Source organism: Homo sapiens, chromosome 1 (assembly GCF_000001405.40).
Source record: "Homo sapiens chromosome 1, GRCh38.p14 Primary Assembly".
NCBI lineage: Eukaryota > Metazoa > Chordata > Mammalia > Primates > Hominidae > Homo > Homo sapiens.
This window is the reverse complement of record NC_000001.11, coordinates 76,866,072-76,893,022: the sequence shown is the minus strand read 5'-3', so window position 1 is coordinate 76,893,022 and position 26,951 is coordinate 76,866,072. Positions and strand designations below refer to the sequence as shown.

General features: G+C 39.9%; 1 protein-coding gene across 3 annotated transcripts in view, besides 1 other annotated feature; it reads right to left on the bottom strand.

Annotated features, from left to right (window-relative positions):
• Positions 1 to 25,543, bottom strand: part of ST6GALNAC5 (ST6 N-acetylgalactosaminide alpha-2,6-sialyltransferase 5) — a 200,067-nt gene extending 174,524 nt beyond the window's left edge. For all 3 annotated transcript variants that reach the window (NM_030965.3, NM_001320273.2, NM_001320274.2), the window contains exons 1-2: positions 25,333 to 25,543; positions 24,281 to 24,526 (exon numbers count right to left, since the gene is read on the bottom strand). In NM_030965.3, the coding sequence (NP_112227.1) occupies positions 24,281 to 24,526; positions 25,333 to 25,347 (261 nt within the window). In that variant the 5' untranslated portion in view covers positions 25,348 to 25,543. The remainder of the gene's footprint in view (positions 1 to 24,280; positions 24,527 to 25,332) is intronic.
• Positions 24,459 to 24,668: an enhancer, noted in NCBI's record as "active region_1212". NCBI's record gives its function as "activates an Ori minimal core promoter by ATAC-STARR-seq in GM12878 lymphoblastoid cells {active_cell/tissue: GM12878}" and the evidence as "EXISTENCE:reporter gene assay evidence [ECO:0000049][PMID:35858748]".
• Positions 25,544 to 26,951: the final 1,408 nt, after the last annotated feature.

The following is a 26,951-nucleotide window of genomic DNA, read 5'->3' as shown; positions in this document are numbered from 1 at the left end:
CCTCACAGTCTTGGGCCTACAGAGGTGAATCTGGGCACCCTAGTAAATGGTATTTGCTGGAGAGAACAAACAAGTTATGGTGAGGGAGGGATGTACAGCTTTGAGGAACTACCAGCAGCTAGAGGCCCTGGCTACTCAGTTGCATATTTAATCCTCCTCCCCTTCTTTGCACAATTGGACAGGCTGAGGTGCAAAAACGTAAAAAGAGAAATTCAGTTATGTGTGCTGAGCTTACCATGTGTGCTTTATGTTGGTTTGTCTGTTTATTGGTTAAAGGACTCCAGATATAGGAAAGTTGATTACTTTTCTTCTTTCCCAAATTTCCTCTATATCAATTAAAAGTGACCACCCTATTTTCAAACATATGCAGTTGTGTGGCATTGTCGAAGAGTCTTTTGTTTTTCCACCTTAGACATGCAATGTTTTATTTAAAAGTGAGATTAATTGGGGTGGAATATTTAAAATACATTTAGATGTTTAGAATTTAAAGGAAAGTTTGGGACAGTGCTTTTTGTTCTATTCCTATTTATAAACATATGGACTATTCATAAAGATGAATATCAGAAGCCACATTTATCTTTGCTGTTTACAAGTAATGCTGAATGCCTTCCAGGGCAAATGGAAAATCACTGTGACTAAAGGGGAGAAAAAAAAGCCTTAAACATGGTTCTGTTTAAGATCTATCTTAAGGTGTTGCTGCTTATTGCAAAATGCAACCTTTTGAAACAACATCAAGAAAAAAGAAGCCCTAAATAACAACAGCAGTCATAAAAGAGGTATAGTCTTTTTTTCTGTCCATAGTAACACTCTCACGAGAGTACTTTTATGTGAGACTGTCATGTACAAGTTGTGAAATCAAGCTTCCTGCAAGTGTGAGCTCTGAGAGACTTGAGAAATTTTACAACTGTTTAGCTACTAACTCAATAGTGAACAAAGCAGACGGAATTTTAGTCTCTATAAACCAAATAAATTCTCGGCTGCACAGTCATCTTCACAGAATCTTTGGAAATAGCAGATCATTATTCTTTGCCATGGCCCGTGATAATCATTTCCATGCTAGTCTTAAGCTTGTAAGTACATATGATGCCTGGTATGGCTAGTGACAGTATATATAACTGAATTTAAAATACATAGATATGCGGTTTATTTTTTATAAAAATGCCAAGACAATTGAATAGGGGAAAGCAGAGTTTTTTCAACAAATTATGCTTGGACAACTGGATATCTACATGCCAGAGATGAAGCTGGACCTCTCTGTCACATCATGTATACAATTAATTCAAACTGAGTCATAGACCTAAATGTAAAAGCGAAAACTACAAAACTCTTAGAAGAAAACATAGGAATAATTCTTCATGATCTTGGATTAGATGACAGTTTCTTAGATAAGACACCAAAAGTATAAGTGAGACAAAAATAGATAAATTAGCATCATCAAAATTAAAAACTTCTGTGCTTCAAAGAACACCATCAATAAAGTGAAAAGACAGCCCACAGAATGGGAGAAAATAATTTGCAAATCATGTATTTTATATGAACTTGTATCCAGAATATATTAAAAACACAACTCAAAAATAAAAACAATCCAATAAAAATGGGCCAAGAATCTGAATAGACATAATCCAGGAAAGATATACAAATAGACAATAAGCACATAAAAACATGTTTAACATCATGCTTCATTAAATAAATGCAAATTCAAACTACAAGGAGATACTACTTTATACCTGATAGGATGGCTAAGATTTAAAAAGAGAGATGATAACATGTGTTGGCAAAGTGTCTTCACGTGGTCTCTGTGTCCTACTCTCCTCTTCTTACTGGTGGGACTGTAAAATGGTACAGCCTTTTGGAAAACCATTTTGCTGTTCCTTAAAAGGCTAAGACTCAGGTTACCATATGATACAGCAATTCTACTCCTAGGTATATACCCAAGAGAAGTGAAAACATGTGTCCCCTACACAAACTTGTACTTCCACAAATAGAAGTTTTATTGTTAAAAATATACATGATGAATAATTACTACATTGAAAAATTTATATTTAATGATATGAGAATTGAGGTTTTCATTTGGAAAGACTTGATGTTATTTGCTGCCAACCTCTCAATATAATCATTCACTTTCTCACTTGAGAATATCTTATGCTCAAATCGATAAATGTAGTGTAATCTCATTTATGTAAAAATGTATATGAAAAAAATCTTAAATTCTAACATGTTTATAATGGTTATGCTATCTCTAGTTTACAAAATTCTAAAATTTTTTATTCTTCTATTTTTCTGCATTTCTAAATTAACCATAGTAACCACTTAATTTACAAATAATATTTTAAAATTTGTAATTGATACAAGCACTCACATTATAGAATACCAAGAAAAGCTGGTATTTAAACATTCAAAATGTTTCTTAAATCTGTTTTTATTAAGCAAGTTAACAGTTAAGTAAAAGAACTCCACAGAGCTCAAAAAAAAAAAAACTGAAGTAAAAATCTAGCATAATGAATGGGCATTGCAGACAGTGGCTGCTCTAAGGGTAACTGCTGATCCTTTAACCTAAAGCTTTGCATTTCAACAACCATGTGGAGGGACAAGGGGCACAGTCTTGACCCTAAGCAATGAGGGAAGACCTGAAAAACCATGACCCTAAGGAATGAGTAAACTAGAAAGAGAAAATCCAGCAAGCATAGGGAACGTAAAAGAAAACTTGTCTGTTTTGTCCTTGGTTCTGGGTGAAGAAGAATAAAAAAAATTCTCTGCTTCATAAAAGTTTAGAATTCATAAAAATGATGTAGATTTGTGATTTGCATTCATACTATTGGCATGTGTGCAGAAGGTCTAGGCTTATTTTAGTAAAGCTTTAGTTCTAGTTTGTAGGGCTTCTAGGGGCTTGGCAAAAGCAAATGTAATCTTTCTTTGAAGAAGTGGATTTTCAATATAGGACATGAAGAATTCCCAAAGATATAGTCCAGATGAGTGTAGAGTGATGATAAACATACACATCTGCAAGAACACAAACAACACACATACAAAATATGTTTATTTGAACAAAATCAGCACAAAAACTAAAAACATACTTATAACTTACAAAGGTTTAAGTTATTAATGTTATCAGATACATAAATAAAATGTATATAAAGAAGAAGATACTATGACAAAGACCAGGATGATTAGAAAAAAATCTAGAAATAGTAAATAAAATTATTAAAACAAAATACTAAGGAAAAAATACTTGATGGATGAATTAAATAGCAGATTAGATACAGCTGAATAGAGAATTAGCAAACTGAAAGAAAGACCAGAAGAAACTGTCCAGAATTCATTATAGTGAGACAAATAAATAAAACATTACGAAGAGAACAGATTAAGGGGAGACAATGTACTTACTTAAAGAAACAACAGTTTAGAATATCTAAAAAGTAATGACATTTGCCTGATGGCACACAACTCAATATCAACAATGATGGGAAGAAAACACAGGAATTAGGTTTTCTTAATACTGAACAATAAAATAACTGATGTGGGCAAAATAAAGATATTTTCAAAGAAAGTAAAACTGTATTTACCATCAACAGAACTTCTTCAATGGACCTTTTAAAAATTATATTTCAAGAAGAAGGATGATGGAAATCTAAGTAGAAAGAAGGAATGATGGTAATCATGGGTAATATTCAGGTAAATCTGCATCAATATTGACTATCTGAAACAACCACAATAATGCTAATGTGAAACAACCACAATAATGCTAATATCCAATTTGGAAGGCTTAATAGAAGAAGACTAAAATACTGCAATACGATGGAATGTAATATTACAGTTGACTAGAGTTAAAATGCTAAGGTCCTTGAATTATCTGGAAAGAGGATAAAGATATTAATTAAATCACTTATAAATGGAATCTAAAAAAATTGAACTCATACAACTAGAGTAGAATGATGGTTACCAGAGGGATGGGGGTGTGACTGGGAAGATGTTGGTCAAGGGATACAAAATTTCAATTAGACAGGAGGAATAAATTCAAGAGACCTATTGTACATCACAGTGATTATAGTTAATCACAATATTTTGTATTTTAAAAATTGCTAACAGAGTAGATTTTAAGTGCTCTCACCACAAAAAAAGATAAGTATGTGAGGCAATACATATGTTAATTAACCTTGATTTAGCCATTCCATAATGTATGCATATACCAAAACATCATGCTGTACACAATAAATATATACGATTTTTATTTGCCATTTAAAAATAAATTAATTCATTTAGGACTTTGGTAATATACATGTTAAAATTTTAAGAATGACATTGAAAGAATAGAAATCAAGCATTTAATTTTTAAACTAATACAGGCTAAAAATGGAATAAGAAGAAGGGGAAAAAATGGTCCAGGGGAAAAGGAGAGTTTTAAAAAAAAGCCCAAAGCACAGAATGCATAAAATGCAAAGCCAGTGTTTAAATAATAGGGAAAAAATCCCAATATATCAATAACTTAGAAAATTACAATAAATGTAAATAAACTAAACATGACTCTTAAAAGGCGATGATTATAATTTCAAATTAAAAATCAATTCCAGCTATAGTGTATTCATATAGGACATACAGAGTACTACTCTTAATATCAGATGAGAGAGACCCCTGATCTTGGTCCTATGCTTCAGAGTCTTACAACTCAAGAGATGGATCTCGGACCAACAGCAACAGCATCACTCAGGCACCTGTTAGAAATGCTGACTGTTAGGCCCCATCCGAGATCTAAAGATTCAGAATCTGCATTTTAAGAAGCTTCTCCGGGTGATGCATATGTACCATTAATGTTTGAGAAGCGCTGCTTTAAATGGCACATCATACCACCAACACACAAATTATATTAAAGACCACATTGACACCTTTGTCATTCTGTCACAGCATGATCTATAATCCTAAACATCCACGGTTGTGTCTAATACCATTCACATTCCAGAAAAAGTACTTCTCCACATTTCCTTGCCCTAAATCCTTGAAACAAATGGTCACTGTGTTCAAATGCCGTAAAGATTTGCAGGTTTTACCGCAGCTAAGAAGGAGCTAGTCACTGCTTCACAGTGTGTATGGTGGGAGGGGAAATAGAATGAGAAGAATTTGAGATTATGATAAAAGAGAACCTATGAAAAAAAATCTTAGGAGGAAAAAAGCCAAAAAAATAAAATACACAAATAAGCAGTCTACTGACATTTTTAAAAACTAGAAATAATGAAAGTGGGTAAATCTCTGTCAAGCATTCATCATAAAAAATTTTCAAACAACACATTTTATATTTAATGAGGATTTAATTACTAGCCAAAATAATAAAAATGAGCAAGAGAATTATTCTGATCTAATTTGTAACTGGAATCGGTCAGATGAGGCCTTTGTAATTTGAAAATCTTTCCTAAATGAAGATATAATTACTGAATAAAGCAATTAGAATGCATGTGGGCCTCTATTTGTACTCTTGCCTCAGGCTCTGCAAATATTAGGAGCAGACTTGGACATATATGAAATATAAGTACACAGAAAGACTGAAAATTATAGGATGAAAAAAGATATAAAAGGCAAACACTGACCAAAGGAAATCTTAATGGCTATTTTAATTTCAGCAAAACAAAAACAAAAACAGACTTAGACTTCTGAACCATAACATGCTCACATTTAGGTCTGAAAAAGAATGCAATGCAAAAAAACTGACAGAAATAAACCAAAATTATATCATTACTTACACCAAAGTGGTAGGAGTATGGGAACACTTCCCCTCTCTTATTTTTTCTATATTTTTCAAAAACATATATAATTTTTAAACAAAGAAATACAATTAGGGCAATTAATAGCTTCTTTTCTCCCTTATAAAGAAATTTCTATTTTACTTTTGTGTGTGGAGGTGGGAACGGCTGGAAGTAGCACGGCCTCCATGGATATGAGAGTTGGAGACTCAAGTGCTGCCATGTGGCTGAGAAGGAAGAAAAAAGAGGGGGTTACTTTACAAAATGAATGGGAACACCAGTGTTCATCGCAGCATTATTTTTAATAGGCAAAAGGTGAAAATAACCCTAGTGTCCATCATCTAATGAATGGAAAAACAAAGTACGGTATAGCCATACAATGGAATATTATTCAGTGTTAAAGAGGAACAAAGTTCTGATACATGCTACAACACAGATGAACCTTAAAAAACATTATGCTAAATAAAATTAGTCAGACACAAGATGACAAATATTGAATGATTCCACTTATAGGAAATAGCTAGAACAGCCAAATTCATAGAGACAGAAAGTAGAATTGAAGTTACCAGGGACTGGTAGAAGAGGAGAATAAGGAGTTATTACTTAATATTACAGAGTCTCCGTTTGGGGTGATGACAAATTTAGGAAACATCCAGTGATTGTTCAATCTAACGGCCAAAGGAGAGCTCAGGCGGCAAAATGAAATAGTTGATTTTATAAAGAGCTTGTTGGCAAGGAGTACTGGTCTTCGCAGATTCACCCTTTTACTTGAAAGCCATCAACCAAGACATATAATATATATCCCCTGCCAGCTGGCCGTCATGGGAGAGGCAGGCTCCAATGTCTCTAATGACATAATTATTCTACCCATAGACTGGAAGAATAGCTGGAGTTCTGAGATTACACCAAAATCAAGATATAATACCATATACTTGAAAAATCTAAGCAGTAAAGAGTAGCTCAGAGATCTTATCAAGTACAAAAAAAAGGAACTAAGAAAATAGTCATAGAATTCAGTAAGTTGGGTTAAAATAAGATAAAGAAAATGTTTTATAAAACTAGAAGATGAAAAAGAAATCAGAAGAGGTTGCTAATTAAGAAAAATGTGATAATTATAACTGTGCAGTAAAATTTCTTTTTAGGAAGGACAATATGTCAAAGTAAACCTTTACTATATGGTGGTCAGGGAATTAGATCTGCACCATTTATGGACAGGAAATTGCATCACGGAGCAGAAGCCGGGAAAATAAAGGCAAACGTGAGGCTGCATATGTACAAAGGACTGCCCCACTGCCCATGAAGATGGCGATCACCTCTAACAGTGTCCTGGAAGCCTGTGTCAGGTTATCGCAGGCCATACCCTCCAAGTAGCTACTGATCGACTGAAAGGGATTTAGAGAAAAGTGGCAAGAAGGATTAAGGGACTATTGGGAATGATTTACAAAACTTAAAAATTGCCTGAACACATTCTGTGTCTGAGCATATAGGTGGGGGATGAAAGAGATGGAAGCATGCCACAATTGAAAAGTGCTAAGGGTTGTAAACAGCAGGGAAAGAAAGGGGTTTTTAAGCTACTAGAGGGATGAATATATCTTCTGGATTAGTAAATGGATAATTTAGCGTAAGTATCAAGACTATTTCCTAATTATTCCAACTCTAATTGAAATAGATTTTGGTTTCAAACTATTAAACAAGATAAGTCTTTATAACTGGGATCTAACAGCAAAGCCATCCCCTCCTTTAAACCACTGATCACGTGCACTGCTAAATCAATGTACACATAAACCCCACATATCCAACATAGATGAATAAAAAACTAGAAGGAAGTACATTTAAATGTCGTGTATACACGTGTTGATTGTATGAAAATACATTCATGTACCAACAGTAATTACATTTTATTGGTAGATTTATGAATAATTGTAACTTTCCTCTTTTTTTTTTCCTTTTGTCATTTCGAGAAGACAATGAGTATACCTGCATTTAAAATTGGGAAGGGAACAAAATTTCATTTTCAAAACTAGCATCCTGGATTTCTTCTTCCTTATTTCTTTTCGACATGTTATACTGGGGATGAGGCGAGGAAACTCTTTCCAGAGAGAAGTCATTCCATACTCTTAAATATGGTCTACAGGCATAGTTTGCATAAAATAGTGCTGAGTTTTGGTGTTCATAGGTTGGCACAAAACCCTGAAAGAGATATAAAGTAAGGTCTGGCGCCATCCCATCCTTTAAACCTTCTAAAGATTGAGATACCATCAGCATGCTCTGTGGGGGTACTAAGAATGGTCTTTTACTTGTCAGACCAGTCAGTATTGCGATGTATAACTCCTTGGAGGACCTGATCTTGCTCATCATAGAGGGACACCATAGTTCTTATTCCAGAAAAAAGCCTGGTTACTACTCTTCCCTAGTTGTCATAAGTCCTAGTCAGAAGAACTTATTTTTGACTAAGTGATTCTTTTGCCCATTGATGTTCTTTTATCAAACAGCACATCAAATCATATTCAAATGTAATATCTCAAATAACTTTGAGTCCTTCGTAGGCATTGAAAAGCCCATGACAAACCACCCTTTCTTGCCTTTCTGGAACCCAGTCAAAATTTCATGTCCATATAGCCAGAAAGAGACACTCTCTGATACTGGGAAGAAGCAAACTGGTGTCATTTCTTACTCTAGTATTTATTCTTGGTTCTGGTTCTAATTATAATATCTTTATCTGCTATGGTTTGAATGGGACTCTTCTAGAATAAAGCTTGCCCCCTTTTCCTGCGGCACTTTTACATACTAAAGTCTCTGCCAGCACACTTATTCTACACCCCACTGGCTGGCTGTCCTGCAGGTGGAGAGTTTAATTCCTGTTGTCACCAATATGCATTATGGAGTCTCGACAAACAGCTTGCTTCAGCCCTAACAATAACACTACTGTTTTGCTCAAGTCAGTATGTGGTATTCAGGTGCACAGCAAGGTTCAAAATTAGAGAAAGTTGAAGTGCCATCTGGGATCATCCTCAGCTCTCTTTACCAGCAATTGTGAGGCAATCTTGAACCACAAACCTTCTGTTGGAGAATCTGCATTCAGACTGTCTGCACAGACACAGGAGGGTGGCCAATCATAGAAACTTAAGGCAGGCAGAAACCTGAGGTCTCTTCATCATCCTCTGGCTGTGCCACTTACTCAAACCAAGCAACAGTCTGCTAATTGGTCCCTCTTCCTACAACCTATGGCTACTTTAACCCATGCCACACTGAAGCCAGGGTGATCCACTGGCACACATATCTGATGGAGTTATTCCTCTAATTTACCTTTTAAAGACTTCCTCAATGCTTTCAGGATAAAATCCAATCTCCACAGCCCATAATACTTCTCCAAATCTGCACTGAAATTTTATGTGTGTTTCTCCCTCTCCCAACAGATATAAGTTTCATGGAGTTGAGGATCACATCTCATTCATTGTTCCTTGCTTCCTGGGTCCTGAACACAATGCTAGGCATATGGTAGAAACACAATATTATTTAATAAATGAGGGAATGAATGAATATAGTTTAACTTTCTCTTCTATAAACTGGATCAAGCCTAGAAGTTATGACATGCCAAAGAGCTCACAACAAATAAATAGCCTGGGCCTGCCTGCCTGTCATGGTACTATACTGTTTTCAAATATGGGCATCATTGCATCTCCACATCTGGTCAGCTGTTCTGGAAAGGTCAGGAGATGTTGCTCTGTATTCAAAGGGGAAACAGAAATTAAAGATGTGTATGTCAGATACCTGAAGCCCTTCTGCCCTTACTTATCATTTCTGTCCATTCCTATAATTAATAGTCTATTAGCCAGACTTGGTCAAATTTCTTCATACTACATACAATTAAAATAGAACTTTGCCTACCCAACATTCAACAAATATTTATTTAGCTTTCATATGTCTGAGATACAGTTTTCAATTCTGTGGATACCAAGATAAGTTATGTTCTTAGCCTCAAAAAGGTAAAACCTAGTCAGGGAGACTTGCATGTGGAAAAATGATTGCAATATTGTGTGATCAGAAGCATGTGTAAGATACAGAGAATATTTTAGCACTTACCAAGGTATAGTAATTATAACATTTATTTCCTCCACTGATTTTCCTGTGGGTAGGGACAAGGTCCTTTATCTTGTTTCCTCCCTTGTGCCTACCACACGGTAGCTACTCAGTCAATATGTGATTGACTGAATGATGTGTGGCTGACATAAGAGAACGTTGGGTATACTCTGCATAGATGTTGTATCTGGGAAAACTTTAGAAAGGAGGTGCTGAAGGTAAAGCAGACAAGAACAAAACAGCAAGGTATGTGCGGTGCCTGGGTGCGTGGTGCCTAGGCTGAGGGCAGCGGTATCCCTGGGTGCGTAGTGCCTAGGCTGAGGGCAGTGGTGGGGGTAGGGTTGGAGAATTAGGCCAGCAAGATCCTGTTGGGCCTTGCAAGCCTTCCTGAGGGTCTGAACTTGATCCTGTAGGCAATGGGAAGCCATAGGAAACACGCAAGGAACATGAAAAGATCTGTAAGTTGGAAATGCAATCATGTTTGCAGTTCAGTCAATGGAGATGTCTCATATGTGCAATTAATTTCCAGAATATGCTTTCTTATTAAAAAATTATTTGGCACTGCATTTCAGTCTGCCAGAGAATACTCAGACTCTGTGCAGTTTCCCAGGAACTCTACAGACACCTCCTTAGCCATTAAGAGTGAATATACTAAAAAAGTTTCCTTTTCAAGAGCTGTAGCAATGATCAGGGTTAATTTTCCCTATGATAGGTAAAATGCTTTCTTATTTGCCTAAAGTAATTCCATCCTAGAGTAAGTATTACATCTCAGAATTTGGGGGGAGTCAATGATATTTGCAGAATGGTAGTTCTTCAAACACTTGGTTAACTAAGTCTCCTGATGATGTTTTCTTCTCCACTGTGGAGAAGGTAATTCAGCTAAATGAGTGCTCTGGTCAGAAAATTTTATGCAGATAATTAAGCATGACACTCCTTTTGGCTTGGTTTATGTTTTAAAGGCAAAAATCTACTCTGGTTTGAAAATTGTTTCAATTAATTAGTACCATGCATTATGTGTGGTCTCTGAAACACCCATTTGCAAAGTTGGTGGTTGGTGGAAGACTCTTTTTAACTATCCAGAGGCATATTCTCATATTCATCTCAGAATAATAAGATGTTTAAATATTTATTCCTTTTCAATAACTGGGTAGGCCTAGGCTCTTCATTTTAATAAATTCTGTCCAAATAATGTTGAGTCACTGCTTAGAAGATGTTGGCACTGAATTTCTCTTATGGTAATGATGTTCACATCAGAGACTGACATTTTGCCCCAGCTCTGCCACTAACCCATGGCCTTGGGCAAATCACACAACCACTCTGGAATTCCTTTTGATAATTCTTAAGTTTTCCTTCTAGCTCTGAAATCCTGAGTATGCTTTAAGAGATCTGATTAGTACAAGAAGATAGAAATGAATTAGTTACAGGCCTACAAATTGTGGCAGGAGGAATTGATATTTATGACTTGCAGCTATTCCTTTTCAGTAACTCCAAATGGTTAGAAACTCTTGAGGTAGGCTTATTTTAGAAGAAACACAAAATCTTTATGTAGATATTCTCATTCATTCAACAAGTACTTATTGAAGACTCATTATATGCCAGGCATTATGTTAAAGGCTGGGACTACAATGACAGAAAAAGAGAGAAAAAAAAATGCCTGGTTTCCAAGAGCTGGTTGTCTAGTAGGGAAGGCAGACAATTTTAGACAAGAAATAACAATAAAGTGGAATAAGTATTGTCATGGGATCTCAGCTATGAAGACAAAACATACAGCTCAGATCAAACCTGGGCTATAAGTCAGGGAAGGTTTCACTGCAGATGGGCTGTCTATGCTGAGACTATGCATTCCTGTGATTTTTTATTTAGAAAGACATATTGAATAGAACAGGCAATAAATATATTTATTTGTCCCAGGCCCAGACTAAGTGTTTAAGACTCGGAGCTTATGGAGAAGAATTTGAACACATCTCATAAATGCACATACCTCCCCCCAAAAGTTTTACCAATCATTTGATCATAAATTCACTGACTCCCATGAGAGTTCTTCCGTTGGATCAAGTTCTGGGATACGGATGACAATATTATTTAAGAGATAATCACTCCTTGTCATTCTATACTTAAGACCCTACACAGCTGTCCAAAGAGTATATAGTAGGTGAATAAGAGGTTTTAAGGAATGACTTGTTGATTAATGATATGTTTTAATTTTTCAAAGTCCTTTCACACATTTAATCTTCCATAATCCTAGTATTTGCAAAGCAGAAATTGTACTGACACTTCACCCTACAGGTTACGGAAATTCTCTTTTATAATAGGTATCATGTTTCTAAGACAGACCTGACTGCAAATATTCTGTCTTGTGGTCAACACAATTATATCCACATTCACCATAGCATGAGTGTGATAGTTAATGCTAAGTGTCAACTTGATTGGATTGGGGGATACAAAGTATTAATCCTGGGTGTGTGTGTGCCAAAAGGGATTAACATTTGAGTCAGTGAGCTGGGGAAGGCAGATCCACCCTTAATCTGATGGGCACAATCTAATCAGCTTCCAGCAAAGCTGGCAAGACCGGCCTAGCCTCTTAGCCTACATCTTTCTTCCATGCTGGATGCTTCCTGCCCTCGAACACTGGACTCCAAGTTCTTCAATTTTGAGACTCGGACTGGCTCTTTTTGTTCCTCAAGCTTGTGGACAGCCTATTGTGGAACCTGTGATTGTGTAAGTTAATACTTAATAAACTATTAAGTATTATGTGTATATGTCCTATTAGTTCTATCTCTCTAGAGAATGCTGACTAATACAGATTTTTGTAGCAGGAATGGTTCTAGAGGAACTGAATATTAAGGATGGAGTTCTTTTGTTGGTTTTGGGGAAGTTGGCTGCTTAATATGATTAGACCCCAAAATGCCAAGAACTCTAGTTCTAATACTATGGAAAACACTGATAGTCCTTGGCATAAACTGTTTAGAGAGTTATGCAAAATAAATGCATTTGACACTCCTGATTCACCGCTCCTAAGAGGCAAGGAGTTTAGTGACTATACCTAATACCTTTGACCATATGTGGAGAACCAAAGAACATAATGAAGCTGGTTGGTCCTAAGTTCAGTGGACAAAGTGATGAAAGAAAATGATGAACTCAGGGATTCTGTCTCCTGGCTTCAGAAGCAGATACTGAGCCTTAAATCTGATAAGACTGCCCTGAGTGAGAGTCTTATCTCCCGTAGAGAAAGAGCTGAAATTGTGGAAAACAGACACAAGTTCTTATCGTGCAAGTGGCTGACTTGCAACAAAAGGTGCATGCACAGCCTCACCCAGTGTCTACTGTTAAAGGCATTGATTGGAAAAGAATGGGACCCTGCAACTTGGAATGGGATGTGTGGAGGACCCTAATGAAGCTGGGGATACTGAGTTTGTAAACTCTGATGGACCTTTTTTGCCAGAAGGAACAGCTTCCCCATCCCCAGTAGTGGCAACATCTCCTCCCTGACCCACACTGCCATAGCCTTTCCACATCTGTCTGAGGACATAAACCCTGTGCTGCCTGAGGCAACAGTGATGGCCTCCCTGAGGCACTCACCAGGCCAAATAATGTTGATTCTCCTCAGGAGCCACCCCAACACCCCTGTTTGCTTCTAGACCTGTAACTAGACTAAAGTCCCAGTGGACCCCTAGAGATGAGGTTGAGAGTGTGACCCAATAGGAGGTGTGCTACACTTGAAAATAACTGTTTGAATTCTCTAATTTATATAAACAGCATTCTGGAGAACAGGCATAAGAATGCATATTAAGGGTATGGGACAATGGTGGAAGGAACATAGAGTTGGATCAGGCTGAATTTATTGATTTGGGCCCACTCTGCTTTTAATACTGCAGCTCAGGGAGTTAAAAAAAGGTTCTAATAGTTTATTTGCTTGGTTAGATGAAATATGAATTAAAAGATGACTCACTGTGAGTGAGCTGGAAATGCCTGGTCTCCCCTGGTTTAATGTAGAGGAAGGGACCCAAAGGCTTAGGGAGATTGGGATGGTGGAGTGGATTAGTCACTTTAGACATACTCATCCCAGCTGGGAGGTTCCAGAAGACATACCCTTGATCAATGCCTTGTGAAATAGATTTATGAGGGCAGCACTTATGTTTTTGAAGAGTCCTATAATTGGTCTTCTCTGTATGTCAGATCTAACAGTGGGAACCAAGTCACTCAACTACAAAATGTAAATACAGTGGGAATAACTGGATCCTGAGGTGGCAGGGGCCAAGTGATGGCACTCAACTGTCAAAGGCAAGGTGGGCATAGCTACCTTAATGGACAGCAGAGGCAAAGCAGCAATCAGAATAGCCTGACTCATGTAGAGCTCTGGCATTGGCTAATTAATCATGGTGTTCCTAGAAGTGAAATTGATAAGAAGCCTACTGCATTTCTACTTAATTTATACAAGCAGAAAACTTCGAAGTCAAATGGACAAAAGACTAATTTGAATTGTAAAAACAGAGAATCCTGTCCCCTCAATAAATTTCCAGACTTGAGCCAGTTTACAGACCCAGAACGCCTTGAATGAAGGGGAGCCTGGATCCCCTTGAGGAAGGACCCCACTACATTACTGACAATTTATGCAGTGACTCTTTTTCCCATCCTTTCCCCAGGAGATCGCCAGCCTTTTACCAGGGTACCTGTGCACTGGGGAAAGGGAAATGATCAGACATTTTGGGGATACTGGACACTGGCTCTGAGCTGACATTGATTCCAGGGTACCTAAAATGTCGTTGAGGTCCTCCCATTAAAGTAGGGGCTTATGGAGGTCAGGTAATTAATGGAGTTTTAGCTCAGGTCTGACTTACAGTGGGTCTGGTGGGTCCCCAGACTCATCCTGTAGACATTTCCCCAGTGCCAGAATGCATAACTGGCATAGACATACTTAGTAACTGGCAGAACCCCTACATTGGCTCCCTGACTGGTAGGGTGAGGGCTATTATGGTGGGAAAGGCCAAATGGAAGCCATTAGAGATGGCTCTACCTAGAAATATAGTAAATCAAAAACAATATCGCATCCCTGTAGGGATTGCAGAGATTAGTGCCACCATCAAGGACTTGAAAGATGCAGAGGTGGTGAGTCCTACCACATCCCTGTTCAACTCTCCCATTTCGCCTGGACAGAAGACAGATGGATCTTGGAGAATGACAGTGGATTATCATAAACTTAACAAAATGGGGACTCCAATTGCAGCTGCTGTACCAGATGTGGTTTCATTGCTTGAGCAAATTAACACATCTCCTCATACCTGGTATGTAGCCATTGATTCGGCAAATGCCTTTTTCTCCATTCCTGTCCATAAGGCCCACTAGAAGCAATTTGCCTTCAGCTGGCAAGGCCAGGAATATACCTTTACTGTCCTGCCTCAGGGGCATATCAACTCTCTAGCTTTGTGTCATAATCTTATTCAGAGAGACCTTGATTGCTTTTCACTCCCACAAGATATCACACTGGTCCATTACATTAATGACATCATGCTGATTGGATCCAGTGAGCAAGAAGTAGCAAACACACTGGACTTATTGGTGAGACATTTGCATGCCAGAGGATCGGAAATAAATCCAACTAAAATTCAGGGAACTTCTACCTCAGTAAAATTTCTAGGGGTCCAGTGGTGAGGGGCCTGTTGAGATATTCCTTCTAAGGTGAAGGATGAGTTGCTGCATTTGGGCCCTCCTACAATGAAGAAAGAGAAGCAACACCTACTGGGCCTATTTAGATTTTGGAGGCAACACATTCCTCATTTGAGTGTGTCACTCTGGCCCATTTATCAAGTGACCCGAAAGGCTGCCAGTTTTGAGTGGGGTCCAGAACAGGAGAAGGCTCTGCAACAGGCTCAGGCTGCTGTGCAAGCTGCTCTGCCACTTGGGCCATATGACCCAGCAGATCCAATGGTGCTTGAGGTGTCAGTGGCAGATAGGGATGCTATTTGGAGCCTTTGGCAAGCCCAAAAGGTGAATCACCGCAGAGGCCTCTAGGATTTTGGAGCAAGGCCCTGCCATCTGCAGATAATTACCCTCCTTTTGCTGTTACTGGGCTTTGGTGGAAACTGATCATTTGGCTATGGGTCATCAAGTCACCATGCAAACTGAATTGCCTATCATGAACTGAGTGTTTTCTGGCCCATCCAGCCAAAAAGCGGGTTTTGCACAGCAACATCCCATCATCAAATGGAAGTGGTGTATACGTGATCGGGCTTGAGCAGGTCCTGAAGGCACAAGTTAGTTACATGAGGAAGTGGCTCAAATGCCCATGGTCTCCATTCTTGCCACCCTGCCTTCTCTCCCTCAGCCCAGCAGATGGCCTCATGGGGAGTTCCCTATGATCAGTTGACAGAGACGAGAAGACTAAGGCCTGGTTCACAGATGGTTCTGCATGGTTATGCAGGCACCACCCAAAAGTGGACAGCTGCAGCACTATGGCCCTTTCTAGGACATCCCTGAAGGACAGCAGTGAAGGGAAATCTTCGCAGTGGGCAGAACTTTGAGCAGTGCACGTGGTTGTGCACTTTGCATGGAAGGAGAAACGGTCCGATGTGAGATTATATACTGATTCATGGGCTGTAGCCAATGGTTTGGCTGGATGGTCAGGGACTTGGAAGAAGCACGACTGGAAAATTGGTGACAAAGAAATTTAAGGAAGAGGTATGTGGATGGACCTATCTGAGGGGTCAAAAAATGTGAAGATATTTGTATCCCGTGTGAGTGTTCACATGGAGTGACTTCAGCAGAGGAGGATTTTAATAATGATCTATTCTGTGGACACAACTCAGCCTCTTTCCCCAGCCACCCCTGTCATTGCTCAATGGGCCCATGAACAAAATGGCCATGGTGGCAGGGATGGAGGTTACACATGGGCTCAGCAACATGGAATTCCACTCACCAAGGCTGACATGGCTATGGCCACTGCTGAGTGCCCAACTTGACAGCAGCAGAGACCAACACTGAGCCCTCGATATGGCACCATTCCTTGGGGTGATCAGCCAGCTACCTGGTGGCAGGTTGATTATATTGGACCTCTTCCATCATGGAAAAGGCAGAGGTTTGTCCTAACTGGAATAGACACTTACTCCAGATACGTGTTTGCCTATCCTGCACACAATGCTTCTGCCAAGACTACCTTCCGTGGACTCACTGAATGCCTTATCCACCATTATGATATTCCACACACAATTGCCTCTGACCAAGGCACTTGCTTTACAGCTAAAGTAGTGTGGCAGTGGGCTCATGCTCATGGAATTCACTGGTCTTACCATGTTCCCCATCATCCTTAAGCAGCTGGATTTATAGAACGGTGGACTGGCCTTTCGAAGTCACAATTACAATGCCAACTAGGTGACAGTACTTTGCAGGGCTGGGGCAAAGTTCTCCAGAAGGCCATGGTGGCAGGGATGTATGCTCTGCATCAGTGTCCAATATATGGTACTGTTTCTCCCATAGCCAGGATGCACGGGTCCAGGAATCAAGAGGTGGAAGTGGAAGCGGAACCACTCACCATCACCCCTAGTGATCCACTAGCAAAAGTTTTGCTTCCTGTTCCTGCAACATAATGTTCTGCTGTCCTAGAGGTCTTAGCTCCAGAGAGAGGAACGCTGCCATCTGGAGACACAACAATGATTCCATTAAACTGAGAGTTAAGATTGCCACCTGGACACCTTGGGTTCCTCCTACCTTTAAGTCAACAGGCTAAGAAGGGAGTTACAGTGTTGGCTGGGGTGACTGACCCAGACTATCAAGATGAAATCAGTCCACTACTCCACAACGGAGGTAAGAAAGAGTATGCATGGGATACGGGAGATCCTTTAGGGTGTCCATTAGGTTATTACCATGCCCTGTGATTAAAGTCAATGGGAAATTACAACCGCCCAATCCAGGTAGGACTACAAGTGACCCAGACCCCTCAGGAATGAAGGCTTGGGTCACTCCACCAGGAAAAAAAACCATGACCTGCTGAGGTGCTTGCTGAAGGCAAAGGGAAGACAATGAGTAGTAGAAGAAGGTAGTAATCATTACTAGCTACTTGAGCAGCTGCAGAAACGAGGACTGTAATTGTCATGAGTATTTCTTCCTTCTTCTGTTAAAAACGTTTGTGCATGTATACACTTGTACTAAGAAAATATCTTAATTTTGTTTCCTTTTCCTTTATCATGTGACATAAGATGTATTGACTGCATATCAGCATTTAAGTATTGATAACTTTTTGTAATAGTATTTGGGTTGGGGGTTGGTGTGTTTCCAGTTGTATGAAGGATAGTTTTATTATGTTAGGCATTATTATGACCTCATTATTGTCTTTATTTGAAGATTATGTATGATCTCAGGAGATGTGTTTGGGTTCAAGTTGACAAGGGGTGGACTTGCGATGGTTAATACTGAGTGTCAACTTGATTGGATTGAAGGATACAAAGTATTAATCCTGGGTGTGTCTTCGTGGGTGTTGCCAAAAGGGATTAACATTTGAGTCAGTGCGCTGGGGAAGGCAGAGCCACCCTTAATCTCATGAGCACAATCTAATCAGCTTCCAGCGAATATAAAACAGGCAGAAAAATGTGAAATGGTGAGATGGGCCTAGTCTCCCAGCCTACATCTTTCTCCCATGCTGGACGCTTCCTGCCCTTGAATATCGGACTCTAAATTCTACAGTTTTGAGACTTAGACTGACTCTCCTTGCTCCTCAAGCTTGCAGACAGCCTATTGTGGGAAGCTGTGATCGTGTAAGTTAATACTTTATAAACTCCCATATATATAATATAATATCCTATTAGCTTTATCTCTTTACAGAACCCTGACTAGTACAATGAATTATGAGATTTAGCTTGGTTAAGGTGGTCACCATATGTTACAGAGACATTCAAGAAGGTTTAACTTAACAAGTGCAGAAGACCCTATGTCATGCCGAGGAAAATCATAAAGAGACAATATTTTGAATTTAAAATCAAGCCACTTTGAAGTTGCTTTGATATCCAATTTGTTCAGTAATTATTCATTGGATACCCTGCACACATGCATGAAGAGATATGAGGCTAATAAAGAGTGGAATATTAGTTTGAAAGCTTAACAAACTTCTAAGGTAATAATAGAATTTAACTTGTTTTATAGATGGAGAAAGATCACAGAAATTATCTCCTTTTTAGAGTCAGTGCCTTGATTTATTGCTTCCTGATTTCAAATTATTATTCAGTGCTTGCCTTATTATTGAACTTTTCTTGCTTCTTTGTCTTTTCTCTGCAACGATTAGATCAAAGGTTCTTTGAGGGTAGGGATTGTGTTCTTCCTCCAGAATGCTCAATTTTGAAACTACTAGGCCTTCAACAAGTATTTACCAAGGGCTATGATTAGTTCAAAAACCTAGAAATGAATTAGCTACAGAACTACACATTGTGATGATTAAAAACATTTCAAACAGTGTTTCTCAAAGTTTAATGTGTGCAATATTTAAAAAGGAAGCTTATTAAACATGGACCCCTAAATCTCATTCCCAAAGATTCTTTTGTCTTTCCTCTTAAATCATTTCCTCCTCTTCCTCCCTGTTATTAGAATTACTTTTGTGGGCAGAACAAATTTTGGAAAAATGAGACATACTAGGGTCTTGAGATTGCAATGATGATTCTTGTAGAGAAAAAAGTTGACATAGGTAAGTAGGTCTGTCCTTCTCTCCTCCACCTTCACTCCCTTCTTTCTTTCCATACATACTTATTGTGTACCCATTAAATTTTAGATATTGTTGTAGGTCCTGGGGTTAAACTGGTCAACAAGATGTACAAAGACATTGCTGTCACAGTACTTAGATTCTAGTTGGGGGAAGGGCAGAAAATAGACAAATAAACTTTAAGATTATTTCAGATATTGTTAAGTGTTATAAGGAAAATAAAACAGGCTAATATGACAGAGAATGACTGTTGAGGAGGGGCTAGTTAAAGAATGTGGTCCATAAGAAGATGACATGTGACCTGATGACTGAATGACCAGAAGGAATCAACCATGCAAAAGACCTTGGGGAAGAGCTTTCCAGGAAGAGAGAAGAGCATGTGCAAAGGTCCTGAGGCAGAATGAATGTTCACAGATCAGCAGGAAAGCCAGCATGCCTGGAATTTAAGAGTGAGCCTGGTCAAACTCATCTGCCATTTACAGGAGGATAGTGATATCTTGAAATTACCCATGTGGGAAGTTGGAAAAATTATCCTGGCTGTCACAGATTTAAGGAAGGTTAAGTATTTTAATAAATGTTATAAAAAACATTTATCCTGTTAAAAGTGACTACATTATTGCAACTCCTCACCCACAAAATAGTGTTCTTTTTCTGATTTTGGGGGTTTGATGCTTTGTGGTAACAGGGTTTCATCATCATTGGCAGATTACATCTTATAATACCTGAGCATTGAAAATTAGCTCACTTTGAATTTCCTTGAGATTCAAATGATTAGCATTCATTTCAGTCATTCATTCACAACTCAAATGTCATAAAATGTGGTCAAATAAATTATGTAAACTTGTGTTTGATAATTTATATACTTTTCTAAAAGGGGAATACTCATCCCATAATTTTAAAATAAGTTAGATGGCATTTATCCAAATTCCGGTTTTGGATGACTATTTTTCAGTTCTTGCATTCACTTGTCTTACCACTCCAACCAGATAGTTACCAGTTAATAGTAATAGTACTATTACCACTAAGCAATTTTGATTTGTCTGAATAACTGAGTGCCTAAAAATGGAAAGAACCAAGGACAAGTATGTTATTGGTATGTGTAAAATCCATCCCTGGGGGCTACTTCTGAAGCAAAGAGATAGCTGCTTAGCTGTAGACCCCATTGATCACCGCCCTTTCATAAGCCATTTCAGTAAAGGGCAGTCTGGGTGATAGTGGGCCTTCTGTGATAAGAGCCTGTCCTCTAGAAATGGGAATTAGCTCACGGTTTCATTTCACAGGGTCTACCAGATGGCAAATGACCTCATCTACCCAGACGAGATCCAGACTGGAAACTGAACTGTGTTCCATGTTCCCTTCCATTCTGCTATAAGACTTGGAGCTTTCCTCTGAGTATTTCTTGATTTAATGTGTGTGGTGTGTGTGTGTGTGTGTGTGTGTGTGTGTGTGTGTGTGTGTGTGTGTGTTAGCTTGGTTATACATTAGGCTACAGTTCTAAATGCAGAAGGTTCCCAAAGCCATGAAAATTGGCTTCTTCAGTTGTACCTAAGCAATCTTGTTATCATTGGCTTCCACAAATCGGGACTGAGAGAGTAATGTTAGAATACAGATATAGTACCTGAAGACACAGACATGTAACACGATGGAAATGAGTTGGTGGAACATTTGTGGGAATTGGTCTGGGGAAAGGGATTGGGAAAGAAGAGAAAGACTCAAACAGAAAATGCCTTCATTATGACAAGAAACTCCATGTAGCCTTCATTTAGTGATACTGAAATTACAATTGCAGCTCACATAGTTTGTGAAAGAGGAAGTAGAGAATATGACCATGAAAAGTGATATTTTAAGCCTCAACACATGCCGCTCATCACTGACTTGACTTGCAGCATATATTTCAACAAAAGCACACAGTGATTTAATCTCAACAGTAATTCAGTCTGCAGCCATATGAGACAAGACCATCATTGCAGACAGGCTGTAATTTGTGAAATTCAGGTGCTGGGGATTAGGACCACCTGTTGAATTTAATCTTGGAACTGTTAATGTTAACAACATCATGTAACTGAGCTTATACACTACATATTTATCAGTCTTTGGGGCCTCCAGCTATGGAGGTGTGAACATTTTCCTAAATAATATCTGTAACTCTCTCCAGACTATGTAAAACAATGGCAGATAAAAAAGGCTGTTGGAATTCTGATTCAATACGCAGCAGCATATGGCTTGGTGGTCATCACATCCAGCATATTCCATCATTTTCCTGAGGCCTGATGTGAGGGTAAAAAAAAATTAGCAATCGAGTATCATCTGGCAATATAATAAGAATAGAAAGGCTTTCATTTCTTACCCTCCCCTGTCATAATTGGAAAAAAATTCCTAGCAATATTCTAACAATGTCTTCCACCTCTGCCTATGCAAGAATATAGGAAGATATCAAATAAACCTAATTAAACAGGAACTTTTGGAGAGAACATAAACAACATTTTACACATGCACCTTCATATGACCATCTGTAAGGGAACTCTGCCCAATTTGCAGCCAGATAAATAGTAGCGGTAAAGAGAATCAGTTAAGGCATTCTGAGAAGTTTACATTTAGTTCAGTGGGACAATTGGGATAATGTCTAAACAGAAGACATAGACTTTAAGATATGCCTTTCTTCCTTTGCTTGTGGTGACGTGAACTCCCTCAAAACCTTTGGGTATAGAATTTTGTGAGATGTTGGTGTTCCATGAGATAATTTCATTGATATTCATAATTATCTCCAAAGACCTTCTTCTACTAGGAATTCCAATGACTTTCACACAATATTTATCATTCATATAGCACTTCACAATTTGTAAAACCCTTTTACTACATATCATTTCAATTTCCCATGTAGGGTATCAACATCCCGCCCTCCAAATTGAAAAGGACTGTTCTTTGTTTCAATAAAATAAAGCTCTGATAAACAAAAATTGAAATCAAACATATTTGTGGTCAATAAACATTGTTTTGAACATAAGCATTAGGTTATTATACTTTGCATTAAGCTCTCAATATTCTTAGCTGGTGTCTGTCCAGCAGAAGAACACAGGAAGAAAAGTATTAGAAATCTCTTCCCAAAAGCTGATCAAAACTTTCAGCAAATTTACCTTTTGATGCTGCCATTAATCAAAGCTTCACAAGTGTTAGACAGTAATTTCCACCAAACAATAGCCATGGAAATCCATGATCTCAGTATATCCATCATACACCAGTTACACATAAACACCACAGCCATCTACAGTCAGAAGCTAATGTCTAAACTTTCCTAGAACTCCAGCCCTTATCGGTTGCTTGCACATGCAGATACAAAGCATGTAATCAATCAACAACTAAGAGCGGAAACAAAAGCTGTAATTGTAAAATTGATAGCCTTCTGCTTTTGGATTTTAAGTCTACTAACACCCCTACCCCCCAACCCCTGCTCCTGCCACAACAATAAATAAATAAATAAATAATCACTTCCTAATGAAATTGATTCCTCCTTTTTTGCTTCCCTGAATTCTTCTCATTGCAAAATTCCACTTTTTCAAAGAAGCTTTCCTTGATCTTTCCAGGGAAGTCATCGTTCTCATTTTTGCACCCCTACAGTACTGTTCATATCTAGCATTTATTACACATTTTTATCTATTGGTTTATCCATCTACACACATTTCATGGTATATTGTTCTGTCCTCAGGTATTTAAAGATCCGTAAGACTGGGTCCTGCCTTAAATTCTTTTATACCTTTCAAATCCTTAGCATTATGCATTAAACAGGTGTGTGGCAATATTTTGAATGCCACTTTTTAAAAAGTTTGGCTTTTTCACGCATGGTTAGAGTGACCTTTGCACACAAAAGGAGCATCTACTATATATTACTTCGGTTCACAACCACAAAATTTAGTAAAATAAAAAGAATAATTGGGAGATTTCAAGAAATCCTCTAGCTTTATAAAGCAGATAGAGAGTGGAATTGTGTTTTAATAAAAACATACGAGCAGCTTCAAATAATGGCGGATACATTTAAACTGTATTAAAATATCTTCAGAATCAGCAAACTTGATTAGGATTCTCCCAGAGGCTTCACACACTGAAACCAGATATTTATTATTCCAGGGAAAGGAGGCCCAATTTTAAAAAATTCATCTTATTAGTTATTAGCCACCCCATGCAGCAGCTTCCCGGAAGGCAGAGGAAGACAGGCTCACAATGATGAGTTTCAAACCAATGGAAGCTGAGTGTGTCCCTCAAGTCTTCCATGCCTGCCTGGGCACCACTCCCCAGGGCTGAGAGAATTCAGCCCAAAGCAATGCGCTGGAGAGATCAGAGGGGAACGCTGGATCCCGAGCAGTGGCCGCGGGCTGGCTGCGCTCACCCTCCGGTTCCGGGTCAGAGGAACGCTCAGGCTGGTACCCGCGCCAACCCCAGTTTCCTCCCACCAGGCAGCGACTCGGCGGCCAAACCCGAGGCTTCAGGAACCGGACCTCCATCCGCAGCTGCAATTCTGGGGATCAGGGAGTTCTAGTTCCAGGGCCGATTTCTGCTGGGAAATTAGGCTTTGGGGTCCACGCACCTCACCCCTATTTTCTACAAAACTTTGTGTCTTTCTCCAAATAAGAATTCATACCAAGTTGGAACTAGCCCACCCTACCCCAGCGGGTCCACTCCCCTCCAGCCTTCGAACGGCACCTACTCACAGCGCCTCCCAGCCCCGGGAAAGGGGGAAGGCTCAGGTGTGCGGGATCCCCAGGCTGAGTGGCGAGCGGGCTGGCGGGCATGCTGTCACCTTGTGGTCCGCCACTCCGAGGTATCCGTCCAGTGGCCGCGGTCCCGCGGGGACCCCGGGGCGCTGCTGGGTGCTGCTCTCCGCCGCCGGCTGCGAGCTGCCGGTGGCCGACGCCTGCTGCTGCTGTTGCTGCTGCTGCTGCTGCTGCTGCGGGGGCCGCTCCTTCTGGCCGCCGAGGCTGCTGTACACTAGCAACAAGCTGGTGCACATGGTGGTGAGCGCTAAACACACTGCCAGACCATGGCGCTGCGGGCGGGCGGGAGAGAGAAGAGGAGAGCGGCTGAGCGCAGACACCGGAGGAGCGCGCCCAGCGGGGACAACTGTGCGGTGGTCACTCTAGTGGGGGAGATTTGGGGCGGCCTGGGCCCCAGCCCCGCCGCACGCAACTGGGACAGAGAAAGCACCGTCCCCTAGCGTATCGCAAGGGATGCTCCGGGCGCGTCGCTGCTTTCGGCCGCCGCCGCCCAGATCTCTCGGTAGAGGGCAGGTGGTGTACGGCCCCGGGCTGAGGGAGGGAGCGCGCCGGGGCCGAGGACAGGGGTGGGTTTGCACTTTGGGGAAGGGCCCGTCTGGCGCAGCCACCCCAGCCAAGCTGCTGGAATTTTGAGTCCTTCACACCCCTCCTTTCCTGGGGCCCTGGATCCTTGCGATCCTTGCAAGTTTGAAATCTAAGAAAACGAAGAAAGTCTGCAAAGGTCCCCCCTCCCCGTCCCTCTTAGTTTTTGGCAGGCTGTTGCTTTTGGGCACCCCCATCCCTTGAGCAATCTGCCCACTCCTCCATCGCTCCTGCAGCTCTCCGCCACCCCCTCGGACCTCTCGCCGGAGATCTAGGAGGCGAGGCAACCCCGAGTTCCCATCCTGGCTCTGGGATTCCGAGCCAGGCAGAGCTGGAGAATCGGGAGGGAACGCGGAGCGGGTAGAAAGTTGTCCCTTTGTAACAGGCGACCTCGCGGCCCAGGGTTAGGCGTCTCGGAGTCTCCACGGTGCGTCCCGTGGACCCTGAGCCCGGGGATCCCCCTCTTTGCCCGGTGGAGTTGCCACAACTGACTCACCATCAGGGTCTTCATTTTGGGCACCTCTTTTGTGCAGAATCCTCAGGCTCGCGCGTCCGGGGCCACTTTTTCCTGGAGGGTTTCCATGATGGGTAATGGGGCGGAGGCGGCTCTGATTTTTGCCCAGCAGCCGGCCGCGGCAGATCGCGCGCGGGAGCCGCGGGACCCGGGAAGCGCGGCTGTTGCAGAGATTAGAGACAGAATTAAAACTGAACCGGACCCTCGTAGTCTCTCAGCGATCTACACAACTGCCGCCTGCCGCCGCCTGCTGGGTCCTAAAGACCTCTACATCCCCTTCCCCGCCCCCAAATAATAATCTTTTCAGTAGTGAAATTTCTGGGGAGAGAGAGTTAACCGAGCCAGTGTACCCACTTCTTGGTCCGCGGGCTTATTTATCTTTAAAGAAGTCATCAAGTAGTAAAGAAGGAGAACCTGATTGGATTCTGAACGTGATAGCCATGTGAAAATCTGCAACCTAAATTTTCTGTTTTGCGATGTTGATAAAAACAAATCAACCTCCCAAATGTCAATAACTCTATTTATAGCGTTTGCGTTTATGTACGTAGCATAGAGAAATACATGATGAAATTATTTTTCTTAAAAAATTATTTATTATTCCGTTTTTCAATTGCTCACTTTCTTATTTTCTCTTCTCTCTTAATTTTAATTTTACTTTATCAGATTCAGTTATTCTCATGCATTCTTTAGATAATATTTCATCTCAATTATTTCATTTATTATTTTCATTGAATATTACAATTTACATTTCTGCCTGACCTCTGAGTTTCCTAGTGTTCATCTAAATGATCTTAAAGTTTTAAAAACATTCAGCACGTCACAGCTACATGATTAACTTGACCTGTAGATTCTTCCTAATTTGGATGAAGAATTTCTGTCTGCTAGAGATAAAACTGCATATGGCTTATTTCATAATCCTAAGGTATTTGGTGCTTTCCGTTGGTCTACTGCACTGACGGCGATAGTTTCACATTCAGGACTTCAATTAAAATTAAAAAAACATAAGTATTGTTTTATGTTGGGAAAGTCACATCAATAGCTTGTTTTAAGGATGCTGTCTCCTCTGCATTGAATTACAAATGGCATTTGTTAAATGTCTAATTTAGCTAAAAACATATTTCTTGTGAAATTGCTCAGTGAAAATAGTTGTCTTAATGTATTACTTAACATCTCACCTGTAGCAGTGTAATGTTAAAGATTACATTAAGATGGAAATGATCAGCAGGCCTACTGAACCATGGGCACAATAAGAGCTTTCTCAAGGCCAAAGAAGGCATTACAATCCATTTTTAATCTTCCCTAATCTATTGCTGGACTGATGATACAACAGGAACTATTTTTATCTTATGAGGCATCCTTCCATACTTAGTATTAAGAAAGTTAAAATTATTGGTGCAATAATGAATATCAGTGCAACGTGTTTGGGAGAGGGCAAGAAAGCACACGATTTAGCCTTTCAAGGAAAAGCAAAATAGGAAGCACTGTCCAACATTGCCAGCCTTGAAACTATTTATTCAGTTTGTGCTTTAGGCATGAATAGTACCAGTTGTTAGGGCAGGAAAAGCAGCAGCCAGAGGAGAATCTTACCAGGTCTTGGCAAT